The 19349-nt window shown below is 40.8% G+C and overlaps 2 protein-coding genes across 9 annotated transcripts in view, besides 1 other annotated feature; one reads left to right on the top strand and one right to left on the bottom strand.

Moving 5' to 3' along the window:
- On the top strand, positions 841-2929 carry CRH (corticotropin releasing hormone). Its single transcript, NM_000756.4, has 2 exons — positions 841-1012; positions 1814-2929. The coding sequence occupies exon 2, from the start codon at positions 1828-1830 to the stop codon at positions 2416-2418; it is 591 nt and encodes a 196-aa protein (NP_000747.1). The 5' UTR covers positions 841-1012; positions 1814-1827; the 3' UTR covers positions 2419-2929.
- Positions 1886-1955: an enhancer, noted in NCBI's record as "active region_27476". NCBI's record gives its function as "activates an Ori minimal core promoter by ATAC-STARR-seq in GM12878 lymphoblastoid cells {active_cell/tissue: GM12878}" and the evidence as "EXISTENCE:reporter gene assay evidence [ECO:0000049][PMID:35858748]".
- The window catches only part of TRIM55 (tripartite motif containing 55), a 62135-nt gene continuing 46605 nt past the window's right edge, over positions 3820-19349 (bottom strand). For all 8 annotated transcript variants that reach the window (XM_011517617.3, XM_017013908.2, NM_033058.3 and 5 more), the window contains one exon: positions 3820-4834. In XM_011517617.3, coding sequence (XP_011515919.1) covers positions 4712-4834 — 123 coding nt within the window. In that variant the 3' untranslated portion in view covers positions 3820-4711. The remainder of the gene's footprint in view (positions 4835-19349) is intronic.

Genomic DNA, 19349 nt, shown 5'->3' with positions numbered 1-19349 from the left:
TTAATTTTAGATTGTGAGAAGAGAGACAAAAAAAGGAGCAGAGAGTTTCTGAGATAACCTAAAATCTTTGCCGCACCCCTTACTAACCCCGGTTTGTGCCCCTTCACTATGGGAGTAGCTCTTGTCATCATCTAAAAAACTTGAACTGCATTTTGAGAGATTTATTGGCCTTGCTTCTGCAGGCTCATAACTCCTTTATGTGCTTGCTCTTGGGAGGAAAAAGCAGATAGACGTTTAAAAGCTGGATGTTCCTGCACACCCCTCTCCTGATGCTTCATTCTTTTCCAGGCAGAAAGATGGTGGGACTCTGTCTCTAGCAAAGGGATATTTCCAGATACTGAGGTGTTGTCAGAGACACCTGGTCAGGGAGGTTAGGAGAAGGGGCATCCAGGTCCACCCCCTCCAACTGGCTGCTGCTTTCCTGGCAGGGCTGCACTGGGACACCTCACTTCCTTCCCACTTCCCCTTCCTCCTCCCATTCGCTGTCTCTTTGCACACCCCTAATATGGCCTTTCATAGTAAGAGGTCAATATGTTTTCACACTTGGGAAATCTCATTCAAGAATTTTTGTCAATGGACAAGTCATAAGAAGCCCTTCCATTTTAGGGCTCGTTGACGTCACCAAGAGGCGATAAATATCTGTTGATATAATTGGATGTGAGATTCAGTGTTGAGATAGCAAAATTCTGCCCCTCGTTCCTTGGCAGGGCCCTATGATTTATGCAGGAGCAGAGGCAGCACGCAATCGAGCTGTCAAGAGAGCGTCAGCTTATTAGGCAAATGCTGCGTGGTTTTTGAAGAGGGTCGACACTATAAAATCCCACTCCAGGCTCTGGAGTGGAGAAACTCAGAGACCAAGTCCATTGAGAGACTGAGGGGAAAGAGAGGAGAGAAAGAAAAAGAGAGTGGGAACAGTAAAGAGAAAGGAAGACAACCTCCAGAGAAAGCCCCCGGAGACGTCTCTCTGCAGAGAGGCGGCAGCACCCGGCTCACCTGCGAAGCGCCTGGGAAGGTAGGGAGCGCCTGGACGGAACACGCCACCAACTTTGCGTTGCCTGAGCTGCCGCGATGTGCGCCGCGGAGCCGGCTGCCCCTGCCTGTGTACGTGTGTATGCATGTGTGTGCGTGCGTGTGTGTGTGTGTATGCATGTGTGTATGCGTATGTGTGTGTGTGTATGCGCGCGTGCGTGCGTGTGTGTGTGCGCGCGTGTTCGCGGACTATTCCTTAAGATTACAATAGTAGCTGGGATGTGGCAAAAGCAAACTTAGACGGCTGCTCTTCGTTACCCGTGCTGCCAGTTGCTCCTTGCTGGCTGTGTAAAGGAGCTCCCCCACCCCCTTCTATCCTAACCCCCGAGATAAGGCAGCAAGGGCAGAAGTGGAGAGGGAGGACCATGAGGCAGTAGTTCTCAATTTGGAAGAAAATGCTGAAATATCCGGAAGGGAGGTAGTCAGCGCGGGTGGGATCTTAAATCTGTGGCTCTTCTCTAGGATCGGGAAAATTAGTTTTGAGGATCGTTAGGAAGAGGACGCAGGGACCGTCCTTTCAGAGTCTAGAAAGAAGGGTCACTCCTGGCCGGTGAGCGCATGAGCTTAGGTGCGGAGCCCTGCAGGCGCCCCCTTTCCCCGCTCCCCAGGCGCTTCAGCACCGCGGACAGCGCCCATCCGAATCACTGAGGCCAAAGCCCAGCACGTCTAAGGCAGTCCCGTAGGAAGACCCCGTGTGCACCTCCCAGCTGAGCGAACTCTAACCAACTCTTTCTTTCTCTCTTCCCCTCTCTCATTCCGCCCTCCGCCCACCTCTGTGCCGCAGCGAGTGCCCCTAACATGCGGCTGCCGCTGCTTGTGTCCGCGGGAGTCCTGCTGGTGGCTCTCCTGCCCTGCCCGCCATGCAGGGCGCTCCTGAGCCGCGGGCCGGTCCCGGGAGCTCGGCAGGCGCCGCAGCACCCTCAGCCCTTGGATTTCTTCCAGCCGCCGCCGCAGTCCGAGCAGCCCCAGCAGCCGCAGGCTCGGCCGGTCCTGCTCCGCATGGGAGAGGAGTACTTCCTCCGCCTGGGGAACCTCAACAAGAGCCCGGCCGCTCCCCTTTCGCCCGCCTCCTCGCTCCTCGCCGGAGGCAGCGGCAGCCGCCCTTCGCCGGAACAGGCGACCGCCAACTTTTTCCGCGTGTTGCTGCAGCAGCTGCTGCTGCCTCGGCGCTCGCTCGACAGCCCCGCGGCTCTCGCGGAGCGCGGCGCTAGGAATGCCCTCGGCGGCCACCAGGAGGCACCGGAGAGAGAAAGGCGGTCCGAGGAGCCTCCCATCTCCCTGGATCTCACCTTCCACCTCCTCCGGGAAGTCTTGGAAATGGCCAGGGCCGAGCAGTTAGCACAGCAAGCTCACAGCAACAGGAAACTCATGGAGATTATTGGGAAATAAAACGGTGCGTTTGGCCAAAAAGAATCTGCATTTAGCACAAAAAAAATTTAAAAAAATACAGTATTCTGTACCATAGCGCTGCTCTTATGCCATTTGTTTATTTTTATATAGCTTGAAACATAGAGGGAGAGAGGGAGAGAGCCTATACCCCTTACTTAGCATGCACAAAGTGTATTCACGTGCAGCAGCAACACAATGTTATTCGTTTTGTCTACGTTTAGTTTCCGTTTCCAGGTGTTTATAGTGGTGTTTTAAAGAGAATGTAGACCTGTGAGAAAACGTTTTGTTTGAAAAAGCAGACAGAAGTCACTCAATTGTTTTTGTTGTGGTCTGAGCCAAAGAGAATGCCATTCTCTTGGGTGGGTAAGACTAAATCTGTAAGCTCTTTGAAACAACTTTCTCTTGTAAACGTTTCAGTAATAAAACATCTTTCCAGTCCTTGGTCAGTTTGGTTGTGTAAGAGAATGTTGAATACTTATATTTTTAATAAAAGTTGCAAAGGTAATCATGACTTTACTGTTTCTCTTCAGTGCTCATACACTGGAAATACTCTCTTAGCTTCCTCCAAATTGTCTTCAGCACCAGAAAAGAAAAGCAAAACTTCCTGCATTATATTTTTCCACTAAAAATGCAAACATATGTCAGTGGCTTACACAGACCCTGCAATCACGTTGGGCTCATCTCTGTGCCATGGACTACTTCTCTGAGGTTGAGTTAATAATTCAGGAAGTTGCTCCCAGCAGCTCTAAAACATGGTAATTCTAAAAGGGAAGATCATTTTATAATGGAAATAACATTTAGCCCTGATCAATTAAAATATATGAAATAATTGGAGATAGTGGGGAAAAGATGAGGAAGAGAGAAGTGTCAAGCTAGAAATTCCTCCAAACTGTATGGCCAAAATGCTGCATTCTTTTTCTATGAGAAAAACTCACTCTGTCAAACTACTACTTTGGTACCATAAAACTATTTTTTCTAAGCTATTTTCCAATGACTACATCTAATAAGAGAAACTTAATAGCATCTCCACTTAAGACGACTAAATTTAGTCATTATAAAATGTCACATAGGAAAATTTTCTTATGAAGAACATTTTGACTTTAATAATTACACAAATATCCTCCACATTTTTGCTTATGTCAACCCTAATCACTTTTATTCTTAGGAACAGGAACTACCTTTGTTCATTTCTAAAACTGAACAGCACATTTAATTAGTTTTACAGTGCATTTGCCTTTGGTAGTTTAGTTATAGCTTTAAACAATTCAATCAAATGTTTAATACTTCAAAATTAATTTGTCTGTATGAAGATGCATCTTATCCTGGGACCCTTGAAATACACTTAACTAATGGATGAATAAGATAATACAGAACATTGAATAAATCATTATAAGACGAAGCTTTTAAAAACATCATTTATTTAAGAGTTCATATAAAGTTACACTTATGTTCTGAAGGAGGCATTATGGTGGGACAAATATTAACAAAGCATGATTTAAATATATATATATTTAATGTGTGATATGTTTGTATATATATTTAAACACATGCAATTGTTCTACAATTTACCAGATTGGTGCCACAGTGAATAAAAGAGAAAGTAGACAGCTTTTGCTGGAAGATTCAACTAAAGTGCCTAATACGTGAAAATCTAAAACTAATATTAGAAAAATGTCACAAGAGATGCCCAGGCCTTCAGCTTTCTGGACCATGAAAGTGTCACCAAATTCAAAGAACATTTCTGAATGTACATCCAGTGACATCTGTTATGCAAAAGAGGAAAACTTTGTGAAACATTTCATAGCTTTGGTCAATGATTTACTTTTTGTCCATGTATTGATAAATCAGTCACTTCTGAGTTGACACTGATTTTCACTGACCACCTGCACTGTTAAAGAGTAAAGGAAATGAAAGCTACCATAATATAATAACAAAAAGTCAGTGCCTATGAGAGACAAAAGCATAGTGACCACTTTTTTCACCATTTGCCACTTGTTAGTGACATACACATGTACCACACCTACACACCCTTCACAACATTTTCCACACAATAGAAGATTTGTATAAGATCAAGTTTATTATTTCCAGTGCTTTCTGCAACTATTTTCTCAAAATATTCTTTCCCCCCAAGATGTTAGATAAGTCATATGGAATTGCAGTTTGGGGCTATTTTTGCAGAAATCCTGTTCAGAGGTCCCTTTCATCATCTGCATAATATTAATTTCACTTGGGCTTCCTGCTGCCCACATGCATCTCAGCCAGGCAGACAGAGGGGCAGCAGTTGGAATGAATATCATTCATTTAGGGAGTTCAACCAGGAAAAGGAGAAGATATGGCGAGCTGGCTCAGAATCAGCTCCACTGCCACTCGCTGGAGCTGCAGCCTGTCCCTGGAGGGGAGGAGCCTCAAATCCAATCTGCAATGGAAGAAAATGGGAATCAGAGAAAAAAGAGGTTTGTTCTTTTTGGATTGGTCCAGTCACTTTTCTATTGAGGAGAAAGTATAATAATAATAACAATTATTATTATAATAACAATATTATTATATGGCACATAATTATTAGAAATAGAAAGCAAGCTCAGATTATTTTGGCTACAGCCAAGAGTCATGAAAATAATTCACACTCATGATACAAAAAGAAGGAACAGTAATGCATGCAGTGGAGAGAAGTTCTTGGGAAAAAGGAGTTCAGGCTATTCTAGTTTTTTTTTTTTTTAAGTCCACTTGTACATGATTTATTCAGATGAAAGTCTCATTGAAACCTCTAGGAACTGGGTTTAGAAAGGGTTGCAGAATTTGAAAAAATTCCAAATTTAAATGGCACTGCTATGCCACATGACATTGTGGGACATATTAATATAATCCCTCCACTGCTGAAGAAGTTTCTAGCATGCATATACATATATATTTTCTTACTATAATTTTTACAAAACTACAGGCTTAATTTTGGGCAAATCATGATGGGATTTTTTTTTCTCTAGGTAATAAAATCTAATAACCATATCTATATTAAATCAAATCCAATATAAGCATGTCTAAAGAAATAATTATCTTTTGTAGGCACCTGAGATAGACAGGTTGCAATTCTGAATTTATTGATTAATCTATGTCATAAGCAAAATTTACTTATGTTGTTTTGCCTTTAAAAATCACAACTTAATGGAATGAGGGACAATCAGGAAGAAGTCTTGCTGAAATGCAATTTGATTTTATGAGCTCAAACTCTTTACATTTCAAGGTACCATGACAAACACCGTCCTTCCTAGGAGAACTATGGATAAATAAGCAAACATGTTCCGATGACATCACTGGTAAAATTATCCCACCAGATTAGAATGCCACTGATTTCAAAGCAGTGAGGTAGCCACATGCATTCAGCTCAGAAGCCCTGGATGATTTTATGAAGCTGCGATATGAATGGATAATACCTGGCACAAGTAAAGCAGAACTTTGGTTAAGTATGTTGTTTTACTGCCACTCAAAATAGTCTTGAGAGCAAAATGAGTTATTGGCCTGCACTTTACCAGATTTTACCCTAAACATATGTTTGGGGATGATGTTTCAAGAGCAATAAAATTATCCTAAGTCTTTATGGCTTTGGGATAATCCTTTGTACTGCCACATTGCTTCCTGATAGAAAGTTAAAAAGGGCCATGAAATCATATTAGCCACAGTAGAATAAAACTGAAATAGGTAGTTTTCTATGAAGGAATAGTGGAAACATCAAGCGAAATTGGGCTTTTTGAAAAAGAACGTTACTAGATTCTGTTGGTAATGTGTCAGATACCTCAATGTCCTTGAAAGTGAAGTAAAATAAACATTATCCTGACAGAATCCTGCACCTATTTTTACACGTCCAACTCCTTCCTTGCCCACCATAATCCTCTTACCCTGGCTAATAAACAAACAAACAAAAAACAAACCCTTAAGTCTCATGTATGGCTTATGCAAAAAACAACAACAACAAAAAACCCCGAAAGCCCAAATGACCTGGGCATATATAAAAAGACTTATTTTTAACCATTCAATTTGAGCAAATAGCGAATTCCGCCTGGATGAACAGACCATCAAGGTCCATTTTGTGGCCTCTTTTTCTTGAAGGCAGTTTCTAATCTAAAGGGAACTTCCATGGCAGCTGTTCTGACATAGTTGAAGGGTGACACAAGTTGGGTAATGTGTTTTCTGCAGAAGGCAGAACCTTTGGGAAACTGCTGGTAGCGAACAAGCCCCTGGGACTGCTTTTGGAATATGTATAAATTTTTGTGCTTTCCTCTACTAGAGATTGACATCTATCTTCCATTTAAAATGTTTTAGTTGTTAACCCACTATTGCCTTCATATTTGGGATTACATAGTTTGGGTTGGCTTCTCTTACACTTCCATGTTTCCAGGAAATTATTAAGTTTTCCTCCAAACAATATGGACCAATGCTATCTTTCAGAAAAGAAAAGCCAGTACCAGAGTGGGGGGTTATCCAATAGCAGAGGTTATCCTGAGTATCTTTAGATAATTGCACCATCTCCTTGGTCTTGTTTATATCCACTGAGGACCCAACAACCAGCTCAGCAAAGAAAGTTCTGTGCAAAGAGGCTTAGCCTAGTTTTGAATCCCACACAAACTACTTATTAGCTGTATGACTTGGACAAGTTAGTTAACTCTCTGAGCCTTAGTTTTCTCTTCTGTAAAATAGAGATGAGAACCTACCTTACAAGGTTGTCGTAAGGACTGAATAAAGTAATACACATAAAGCACTTTACACATGCCTCACTTATATTAGGTTGGTCCTTCCTTCCTTCCTTCCTTCTTTCCTTCCTTCCTTCCCCTCTTCCCCCCTCCTTTCTTTCAACAGTGAAGAGGCTCCTCTGCCATGCAGAATCCCCTGGGTACTGTTTATGACAAACCATATACAATAGCACCCCAATAAGAAAAGACAATAGTATTTGCAATCTCATTTTTCCAGAATTGGGCATCTTTTCTATGATTTAATCCCTTCAGTGTGCTGTAATCACAGGCATCAATGACACTGTCCAGTGTATCTCCAAGAGGCCCAACTTCATACATGGCTACCTCATAAAGGAAGAATGAGTTAAAGATCTAAAACTCTTTTCTGTAAGCACAGCCCATCAAATCAAAAGCAGATCTTTTTCCTACAGCCTTCCCGAGATGGAGTTGTGTATATGTGTTCCTTCAAATAGTTTCTTAAATGCTGTCTCTCCTTTATCACAGAAAGTGCTATTTCTTGGGAATAGTGATGTTCTATGAAGCAGAACAAGGGACAGAGAATTACAAGCACTGATCTCCTCTATCTGCTTGGGAGCTTGTCCTGCATTCCAGTTTGGTCTGATATGTATAAAAAGGTAAACAACAGATTGATAGTCCATATTACAGTCACATGTTTTTTAATGACAGGGATACCTTCTAATAAATGCATCCTTAGATACTAAGCAGACATAAAAAAGAACAAGATCATGTCTTTTGCAGAGACATGGATGTAGCGGGAGGCCATTATCCTTAGCAAACTAACACAGAAACGGAAAACCAAATACCACATGTTCTCACTTATCAGTGGGAGCTAAATGATGAGAACACATGAACACATAGAGGGGAAAAACACACACTGGGGCCTTTCGGAGGGTGGAGGGTGGAGGGTGGGAGGAGGGAGAGAATCAGGAAAAACAACTAATGAGCGCTAGGCTTACTACCTGGGTGTGAAATAATCTGTACAACAAACCCCCATAACACAAGTTTACCTATGTAACAAACCTGTACCCCTGAACTTAAAATAAAGTGTTTTTAAAAAAGAAATGCATCCTTAGGTGATTTTGTTGTTATGTAAACATTACAGAACGTACTTAGACACGAACCTCAGTTTGGGTTAGGCAAACACTGTCCGTAACGTGGAACTGTCCTGTACACAGAGACAGATGTCTACAAGGCTCTGTCAGAGTGCATGCTCATTAACACCCATCAACAAGAAATGATTTTAGATTTAGGTTGCTTCTGCCTCTTGGCTATTGTGAATAATGTTGCTTGAACAGGAGTGTGCAAATATCTGTGTGAGGCCCTGCTTTCAATTCTTTTGAGTATATACTCAGAAGTGGAATTGCAGGATTTTATGGTAACTCTGTTAAATTTTTTGAGGAACCTCTGTACTGTTTTCTATAGCAGCTGCTATGGACCATTTTACATTCTCCCAGCAGTGCATGAGGGTTCCAATTTTACCACATCCTCACTCCTAATTGCTTAATGTTTGCAGGGTATTTTTTTTTAATGTGAATTCGTTGCAAACAAAAAAGAAGGACCTGGCACAGATACTTGCCATGTTCACAGAAACATTATTCACAATAGCCAAGAGGTAGAAACAACCCAAGAGTCCATCCTTGGAGAAGCAGATAAACAAAATGTCATGCATACATACATGTCAAGAATCAATGGAATACAATGGAACACTGTTCAGCCTTAAAAAGGAGAAAAATTCTGGCACATGCTACAATGTGGATGAACCTTGAGGACCTTATGCTAAGTGAAATAAGCCAGACACAAAGGGACGAATATTATATGATTCCACTTACATGATGTATCTAGATGGTCAAATTCATAGACAGAAACTAGGATGATGGTTACCAGGGGCTGGGGAAGGGTGAAATGGGGAGTTTTTCTTTAATGTGTACAGTGCTTCTGTTTTGCAAGATGAAAAAGTTCTAGCAATTGGTTGCACAATAGTGTGAATATACTTAACACTACAGAACTGGGCACTTAGAATGTGTAATGGGAGTATACACATTATATACTCCCATTTTCTGTTATACTGTTTATACTAACATTTTTTTCTGTTACCTGGCCTGCTTTTTCGTTCATGTTACCTTCTTGGTTCCTAAAGAAACACAAACTTATTGCTCTTAACAGACACTATAGACACTTAGAATGTGTAATGGGAGTGGTTAAGATGGTAAATCTATATTCTGCATTCTTTACTAGAATAAAAAATTTTAAAAAAATTCAGGCAACATCACATTAAAATATGGATTTGCAGGTTCTTTGGACAAAGCAAAAATGAACAACCCAGAACTTGCATGGAGAGCTAAGCAGTGTTGTGCCTTGGATTGGGAATGCTCCGTCCCTTCTGCCCATCTCGGTCAGGGTCACAGCGCTCAACACTCCCTTTGCTGCCCCTGCTGCAAGGCTGGTTTCAGTTGCCATTTATCTTTGTGCTTACACAGTTGCTATGCTCAGAGTAAAAAGGAAAGCAAGCAATGTCTTGTATTTATGCTTCTATTAACATTTTTCTGTTACCTGGCCTGCTTTTTCATTCATGTTACCTTCTCGGCTCCTAAAGGCACACAATCTTACTGCTCTTAACAGAAGGTTAATTTTTAGTTGAAGGTGTCAAAGAAAAGGAAGTAAAATGCTCAATGGAGATTTGGCTTGATTTTTATGTTAAATGTGATGAGTGATTTTTTTTAAAGCCAAAGTATGTCTCATGGCAAGAATCTTGACAGTGAAAGCATGAAACTGCCTTTAAAATTCATTTGAGTGCAGATTAGTCCCCAGGATCTTAGCATAGGGAATATAACTGGGTGCAGATTGGTGGATATGCGCTTGTTTGAGCTTGGGGGTCAATGCCAGTAGCCCCCTTTACCCCAAATGCATCTCACCCCACCTCTTCTACCTAATGAAACTAAACAAATGCTTTCCTGACATTCACTCTGGCACAAGTTTGGGTAGCCACATTTGTGGGGGGGCATTATTTTTTTTAGCTGCCCCAAAGTAGAAGAGTGAGCTTATTTTAATCAGTGACCAGTGCCTTTGAGTCTCTAAGTTTCCCAGGGCCTCCATGACATGCCAGCATCAACCCTTCCCTAAATGATCATTCTCTACATCATCCATGACTCTGATCCACTAACGCTTACCTGTCTTGTGTTCCATTCCTTAAGGCTCAGTCAAGCGATAGCAATCAAGCTGAGAAGATGCATTGCAACGAAGACATTAATGGATAATGATGGCCTCATGTATGCCCCTGCCAGATAATACTTTACCTAGAAATATTCATGTCTTATCCTGAGGGATGACTGATGCCAGGCCATTGAGGAGATATTGGGGGCCTTGAGGAAATTTACGCCAAGGCCCCCACAGCTGGGCTGCCATTTCCTCAATCTCTGAGTACTGCAAGGAATGCCAGTCAGAAATTCAACCTGACATAGGATCTGGTTACCAATGCATGTTAAATGCCTGTCTTTCTGGGTCAATTTAAAGAAATCTTTGCCCATCTATCATGAAATGCCTTTGCCTTAAAGGAATGTGGACAGGAGGGGTACGGCTAGACTTAAGGCTGCTGAGTGGGCAACCACCCAGTATCCATCTTGCACCTGCTAGGCTGGGTCAGAGAACCAAAGCCAGATGCTGGAAGCAGGTGTGAGTAGGAATGCTGAGACCAAGTTTAGAATGTTTATTCAGAAAGACCAAGCCCAAGCATTGGCCCGCTCTCCTACTTAGCATTCCTGAACCTCAGGCTCTTGGATAGTTTAGGTGTTACAGATTCCTAACTGGGAAGGAGAGTACAGCCAAGAACCCAGGCCAGTCACCCATGGTGAGAAGTAACTGAGGCACTATCTCTGACTCACAGCCAAGGGTCAAAGCCTTAGAAACTCTGTTAGGCAGCTCTGCCATCATAGGTGTCTATTTCACAGGAATGCAGACATTTCTGTTTGGGACAGAGCAATCAAGGTATGTTAGGAATGAAATGTAGAGCTGTGAAAATACAGCACAGCTAGAGGAAGCAGAAAATAGGAACCCCCAAAAAGAGCCTGGAAGGAAAACACTCGCTAAAATGCATTTTTTGGCCAGGCATGATGGCTCATGCCTGTAATCCCAGTGCTTTGGCAAGCTGAGGCAGGAGGATTGCTTGAGGTCAGGAGTTCGAGGCCAGCCTGGGCAATATGGCATGACCCCACCCCTACAAAAAACTTTTAAAAAATTGCTGGATGTGGTGGCACATGCCTGCAGTCCTAGCTACTCAGGAGGCTGGGTGGGAGAATCATCTGAACTCAGGAGTTCAAGGTTGTAATGAGCTATGATCACACCACTGCATTCTAGCCTGGATGTCAGCGAGATCCTTTTTCTAAAAAAAAAGAAAAGCATTTTTTCTTGGGAGGATTCACAGCCATACAAACTGAGTGATTAAGGGGGTGTGTGGAGTGAACTGACTGGGGGGCTTTGTTGCCATCAGCTGCCTCCTTCTTGCTAAGAGAAAATCGGAAATGAGAATAATTTCCTGAGGCCCATCAAACAAGCAGGAATTAAACTCACTTCTTCCTGACGTGGAGGAGGATGCTGTGGTGTGTACTGTTTGGTTTGTGTTAAGTGTGTTGTCCAGGAATTGATGGGATCAGGGTGGAGAGGACAGGTTATGGAAGTTGATATCACAGCCTGGCAAAAACTTGCTGCCAGCCTTCTTCTCAGATATGGAGCTGACAATTTTGTGTCATGTAGACAGTGTATGTATTCTTGCTCTTCCTGAAAAAAGAACTGGATTGTGAAGAATTAGGTCATTAATTCTTCACAGACAGGGGTTTCTTACATTGCGTTAGGCAAACAGACCCAACAGGTTGTCCTTAAGAACCATGGGAGGTCGATAGTATTACTATCAGTTATAGATGAGAAAGTTCAGACTCAGGAAGTTTGAGGACCTTGCTCAAAGTAACTCTAGGATAAAGTGCCAAGAGTTGTTCATAGAGACCAGAAGTCCAAAGGGAAAGAGGGCAGCTGGTGTTGTTGCACACCTGAGACTCGGGACAGGGTCAGCCTCTCCACTGAAGGCAGACAGAGAGGCAGGTTGGTTGACAGCATGGGATGCAACTGAAGGATCGGCTCGCCCTCATTTGCAGTGGACAGCTACATCCCTGCCAGGAGTGGAGGCCTAGAAACGACCCACCTGTTCTTGTGAGGCTGTGCCGATCTATCCTGAGTGGTGAGTCAAAGCAGAACAGCCCCTGGTCACGCTGATTTTTGCCTCAGTCCCATGAACCTAAGTGAAGTGGGGATTCATCCACTTTTCTTAGATGCTACTTGGCTTCCATTACACTGCATGCCCCACTTGGTGGAGGACGAGAGATCAAAAGGCAACAAGCTCCCAGCTACTCTGTGATCCTAAGCAAGTCATGCCTCCTCTAGAATCCTCATTTTCCTCCACTATAAAATGGGAAAGTTTAACAGTTCCTACTCTAGTGGGCTGTTGTGAGGTTTAAACGAGAGAATCCTTATGAAAGACTTTGTAGATGATAAAGCAATGGGCACACATTTGTTACAGCCACTGCCACGTGCCATTGTTTTTTCAGATGCATTAACACCTTGGTGGACTAACTCTTCACTTCGTGGAGTGTAGTGGAAGAAGAGGTGTACCATGAAAATCACTGAGATACACAAATAAAGACAGAAAAAATCCCACAGGATGTACAGCACTAACAAAAGTCTTAGGTTAAATCAGAATAATAAACAATTTGAAAACACAGGAAGCTTAGCTCAGCTAGCTGTGTCATAACAGCTCCCCAAGAGAGCTCTCCCAGAGCTGTGTTCACAGAATTGTAGAGTTGTAGGCACAGATTGCCAGGGGAAATGAATGAATTCATTACCCTACTCACACACAATTTACATTATATTTTCCTCTTTAAAATGGATACATCCATTTTAGCTTCCTATTAAAGTGACATTTACTTAGGATGCCATTTGATCCTGAGAAATGTAGTCTACAATTTTAGTATTGACTTTTTTATTGTCCTTCTGGTAAAACCCCCAAATTGACAGTTAATAGGAGATATAGTGACAGATATTGGGGGCCTTGAGGAGATTGAGGAGATGGCAGCCCAGCTGTGGGGACCTGGATGTAAATTTCCCCAAGGCCCCCAATATCTGGCACTTTCTCAGTAGGAAAAAAAAAAAGCCCAGAAAAATAATATTGCAGTTGTAGGGTACAAATGAAAAAGCATTAATAATGTTAATGTAAAGGTCTCATTCAAACTTACTTGTTAAAAAAATGTTACCCTCTCCTACAATTTTTTTTCCTAGGTAAGAATGTCTGCATCTCACTACCATAGCTTCTTATAATTTCCAGGATTATTAGGCCCCGGACAATATTTTGGAGTAAATATAGGCCAGTCCTGAGGACGGATCAGTTTTTCTCTATTGTTATCAAGTTGAAATTCCAGCACGGTCAGGGCGCCTGGCATATCAGCAACTTGTAAGCTTGAATCTCCTAATTTGTAAAACACATAGCAATTGCTCTCAGTAGGGATCTCTGTTTGAAAATAATTTGACACCCTGAATCCTTCAATTAAATTTAGAGAACAGAGTTAAATTTTCATTCACTTCCGTTTGTTTTGGAAAATTAAATAGATCATTTCAAAGAACCTGAGACCTATAGTCACACTCATGGGAAATCATGTTCTTAGTCTCTAGTTTTTTTTTTTAATGCTTTGTAATATCTTGTGAAATTAATCTTCCTCAGAAAAGCAGCTTCTGGCCCTCTAGCCTCCTGCATCTCTCACCTCTCAGTCTCTAGTGGCAGCTGGAGTGGACGTTTGCACTTGAAATAAGAATGTATAGCTTGGTCTCAAAAATCTTTTGCATAAAATGCTTTTATCTTTTTGCAAGTTATACCCAGTAGAGATGCGGGGCTCACAAAGGTTGCTCCTCCTTGGAACTTTGGCCCATTGTCCATCCTGGCTTAGGAAAATATGAATATTTTCAAGGGCGCTGAACCTTGAGTGATGTGAAAGGCTCAGGTCTGGGGACACGTGTATTGGTTTCTGAAAGACTGGGAAATAAACCCTGGGGTTCAAGGGGGAAAAGAGGCTTTGCTAGCCCCTTCCTCCCTTACCCGCTACCAGTCTTTTAAACCATTTAAACCATAAGTCCCCTCCTTCCTTCCTTCCTTCCTTCCTTCCTTCCTTCCTTCCTTCTTTCCTCCTTCCCATTTTTCCTTTCCCTTCCATTTTCCTTTCCTCCCTGCCTTTTTTCTGTAATGTAATGTTTTTTATTTTCCTCTGGGATCACCTTTATAATCTTACAAAACAACTATCACAGAGCCTGGGTTGGAGACTAAGAGGACTGCAGGCTGGTTTTCCTTGGCGACATTTTCTCCACTGCATCTGCCTATAGTAGGCTATTGGCCTTGCCCTCTGCATCGCTGCTATTTGAGAGTGAAGAGCCATAAGGTGTGAGGAACCCACTTTGTTCCTGAGGCTGTCTCTGAGATAATTATGTGTCAGATAGAAAGAAACTGGGGACACTTGGGAAAGGGGAAGGGACTATTTGCACCTTTTTGTTGATACTTGGGCTGGGAACCATTGGACTTTCTCAGCCAAGAGGACAAGCCAGTGCTGGAAGTCACTGGTCCATGACAGGTGGCCTCTGCAGTTTTGTGGAAACTGGTTTAGACAGAACAAGGGATGAACTAGGGCACAGGTATGTCATGAAAATGTACAAGAGATATTAGCTTCTAAAGCAAGTGATATCAAAACTAAAAATAGAGCCCCACAGAACAGTGACAACTAATTATCAGACTGTGAGGTTCAGCTTAGACACTTAAAGGTATCAGGCACCTCAACCGTCCCAGTCTTTGTTGTGCTTGGCCGTGCTTGTGGCTGAAGGAGGAAGGGGACGCAGGCTTGTTGGACTCAGGCAGTGAAGCCTTCCCCATGGCCTGCCATGTGGAATAACGCCTTAATGACTGTCAGCATAGTTCCCCTCCAGGTGCCCCACCCCTGTCTTTTTAAAGTTACCTTGGAAGATGTTGTATGTGAATGAGGACCCTCTCTCTACCCATTTCAGCATGCAGACACAAAAAGAGGAGAGGTAGACAAGTTTTGCTTTAAAAAAAAAAAACACTTATCTTGGAATCAATTCTTCAAGAAAATAAACAATGCTAAATATGAATGTACCTAAACAGTTTCCAAACACATAAGGCAAAAACTGATACTGTAAGAATAGACAAATCCACAATTCTAGTCAAAGATCTCAAAATTCCTCTCTCAGAAGCTGATGAAACAGGTAAACTGAAAATCCATATGGACATAGTAGACTTAAACAACACTATCAACCAACTGCCTTAATTGACAGGTACAGAACACCATGCCCAACAACAACAGAAAACACTTGTGTTTTCACATGCATGTGGAACATTCACCAAGGTTGATCACATTCTGAGACATAAAACAAATCTTAATAAACTTAAAAAGATTGGAAACATATAAAGTATATTCTGGTCTTTCTCCACAACAGAATTAAACTGCAAGTCAAAAAGAAAGATATCTGAAAATCTTCAAATATCTGGAAACGAAATGCCGCTCATCTAAATAACCCATGGGTCAAAGAAGAAACTACAAAGTAAGCTAGAAAATGTTTTAAATTAAATAAAAATGAAAATACAACATATCAAAACTTGTGGGATGCAGCAAAAGCAGTGATGAGAAGTAACTTTACAGCACTGAAAGCTTGTATCAGAAAGCAAGAAAAATCTCATGTCAATAATCAGAGCTTTAACCCTAACAAACAGAAAGAGAAGAGAAAATTAAACCCAAAGTAAGCACAATGAAGAAAATCATTAAGAGCAGAAATGAATAGAATAGAAAAACTGACCAAAAAATGGAGAAAACCAACAAAGCCAAAAGCTGGGTTTTTTTTAAAGATGGAACATTGTGGAAACTAGATTGAAGCTGGAGACTACATTGACTTATTTGGAGGCTTCTATTAAAGCTATAATAATCAAGACAGTGTGGTACTGGGGGAGGGACAAACATATATATCAATGGTACAAAATACAAGTGCAGAAATAGACTCACACATATATGGTCAATTGAATTTCTACAAAAGTATTAAGGTAATTCACTGAGGAAAAGGATAGCCTTTTAACAAATAGTGCTGGAATAAATGAATATCTATATCAAAAAGCAAATAACAAACTTTGATCCTTATCTCATCTACACAAATATTAACAAAATGATCTTAGACCTAATTTAAGAGCTAACACTATAAAAATTCTAGAAGAAAACATTGGAGAAATCTTTGTAATTTTGAGTTAAGCAAAGTTTTCTTAAATGGGACATAAAAAGCACAAACTATAAAGAAAACAAAATTGGGCTTCATCAAAACTAAAAATGTTTACTCCTCAAAAAATTCTAAGAAATGAATAACAAGCAGTGAGATTGAAATGGTAATAAAAACATTGCCAACAAAAAAAGGTCTAGGACCAGATGGATTCATAGCTGAATTCTATCAGACATTCAAAGAAGAATTGGTACCAATCCTATTGACCCTACTCCAAAAGAGAGAGAAAAAGGGAATCCTCCTTAAATCATTCTATGAAGCCAGTATTACCCTAATACCAAAACCAGGGGAGGACATTACAAAAAAAAAAAACTACAGACCAATATCCCTGATGAACATAGATGCAAAAATCCTCAACAAAATACTAGCAAACTGAATCCAACAGCATATTAAAAATTTAGTTCACCATGATCAAGTGGGTTTCATACCAGGAATGCAGGGATGGTTTAATATACATAAGCCAATAAATGTGATATGCCACATAAACAGAATTAAAAACAAAAATCACATGATCATCTCAACAGATGCAGAAAAAGCATTTGACAAAATCCAGCATCCCTTTATGATTAAAACCCTCAGCAAAATTAGCATAGAAGGGACATACCTTAAGGTAATAAAAAACCATTTACAACAAACCCACAGCCAACAAAATACTGAACAGGGAGAAGTTGAAAGCATCCCCCCTGAGAACAAGAACAAGACAAGGATGCCCACTTTCACCATTTCTATTCAACATAGTACTGGAAATCCTAGCCAGAGCAATCAGATAAGAGAAGGAATAAAGGCATCCAAATTGGTAAAGAGGAAGTCAAACTATTGCTGTTTGCTGATGATAGGATCATATATCTACAAAATCCTAATGACTCATCCAAAAAGCTCTAGAACTGGTAAATGAATTCAGCAAAGTTTCAGGATACAAAATTAACATACACAAATCAGTAGCTCTGCTATACACCAGCAGCAGCCAAGCTATTCTTGATCAAATCAAGAACTCAAACCCCTTTCACAATACTTGCAAAAAAAAAAAAAAAACCTTAGGAATATACCTAACCAAGGACATGAATGACCTCTACCAGGAAATCTACAAAACACTGTGGAAAGAAATCATAGATGATACAAACAAATGGAAACACATCCCATGCTCATGGATGGGTAGAATCAATAACCATACTGCCAAAAGCAATCTAAAAATTCAATGCAATTCCCATCAAAATACACCATCATTCTTCATAGAACTAGAAAAAAGAATCCAAAATTCATATAGAACCAAAAAAGAGCCCTCATAAGCCAAAGAAAGACTAAGCAAAAAGAACAAATCAGTAGGCATCACATTACCCAACTTCAAACTATCCTAGAAGGCCATAATTACCAAAACAGCATGGTACTGGTATAAAAATAGGCATATAGACCAATGGAACAGAATAGAGAACCCGGAAATAAAGCCAAATACTTACAGCCAACTGATCTTCGACAAAACAAACAAAAACATAAAGTGGGGAAAGGACACCATATTTAACAAATGGTGCTGGGATAATTGGCAAGCCACATGTAGTAGAATGAAACTTGATCCTCATATTGCACCTTATACAAAAATCAACTCAAGATGGATCTTAAATCCATCTTAAATCTAAGACCTGAAACTATAAAAATTCTAGACAATAGCATCAGAAAAACCCTTCTAGACATTGGCTTAGGAAAAGACTTCATGACCAAGAATCCAAAAGCAAATATAACAAAAACAAAGACAAATAGATGGGACTTAATTAAACTAAAAAGCTTCTGCACAGCCAAAGAAATATCAGCAGAGTTAATAGACAACCCATAGAGTGGAAGAAAATCTGCACAATCTATACATCCAACAAAGGACTAATATCCAGAATCTACAAGGAACTCAAACAAATCAGCAAGAAAAAAAAAAAAACAATCCCATCAAAAAGTGGGCAAAGGACATGAACAGACAATTCTCAAAAGAAGATATACAAATGGCCAACAAGCGTACAGAAAAATGCTCAACCTCACTAATTATCAGGGAAATGCAAATCAAAACCACAATGCGATACCACCTCACTCCTGCAAGAATGGCCATAATCAAAATATTAAAAAAAAATGTTGGTGGGGATGAGGTGACAAGGGAACAATTTACACTGTTGGTGGGAATGTAAACTAGTACAACCACTATGGAAAACAGTTTGGAGATTCCTTAAAGAACTAAAAGTAGATCTACCATTTGATCCAGCAATACCACTACTGGGTATCTGCCCAGAGGAAAATAAGTCATTATACAAAAAAGATACTTGCACTTGCATCATATGCATGTTTATAGCAGCACAATTCACAATTGAAAAATTATGAAACCAGCCCAAATGCCCATCAGTCAATGAGTGGCTAAAGAAAATGTGATACACACACACACACACACACACACACACACCATGGAATACTACTCAGCCATAAAAAGGAATGAAGTAAGGGCATTTGCAACAACCTGGATGGAATTGGAGACTATTATTCTAAGTGAAGTAACTCAGGAATGGAAAACCAAACATTGTATGTTCTCACTTATATGTGGGAGCTAAGCTATAAGGATGCAAAGGCATAAGAATAATACATGGGACTTTGGAGACTTGGGAGAAAGAGTAGGGGTTGGGGAGGGATAGAAGACTACACATTGGGTACAGTGTACACTGCTTGGGTGCACCAAAATCTCAGAAATCACCACTAAAAAACTTATTCAGGTAATCAAACACCACCTGTTCCCCAAAAACCTACTGAAATAAAAAAATAAAAAATTAAAAGAAATGAAAGGGAAAGCCACAGACTGGGAGAAATTAT

Source organism: Homo sapiens, chromosome 8 (genome assembly GCF_000001405.40).
Source record: "Homo sapiens chromosome 8, GRCh38.p14 Primary Assembly".
NCBI lineage: Eukaryota > Metazoa > Chordata > Mammalia > Primates > Hominidae > Homo > Homo sapiens.
The sequence above is the reverse complement of the archived record's forward strand: the minus strand, read 5'-3'. Positions and strand labels throughout refer to the sequence as shown.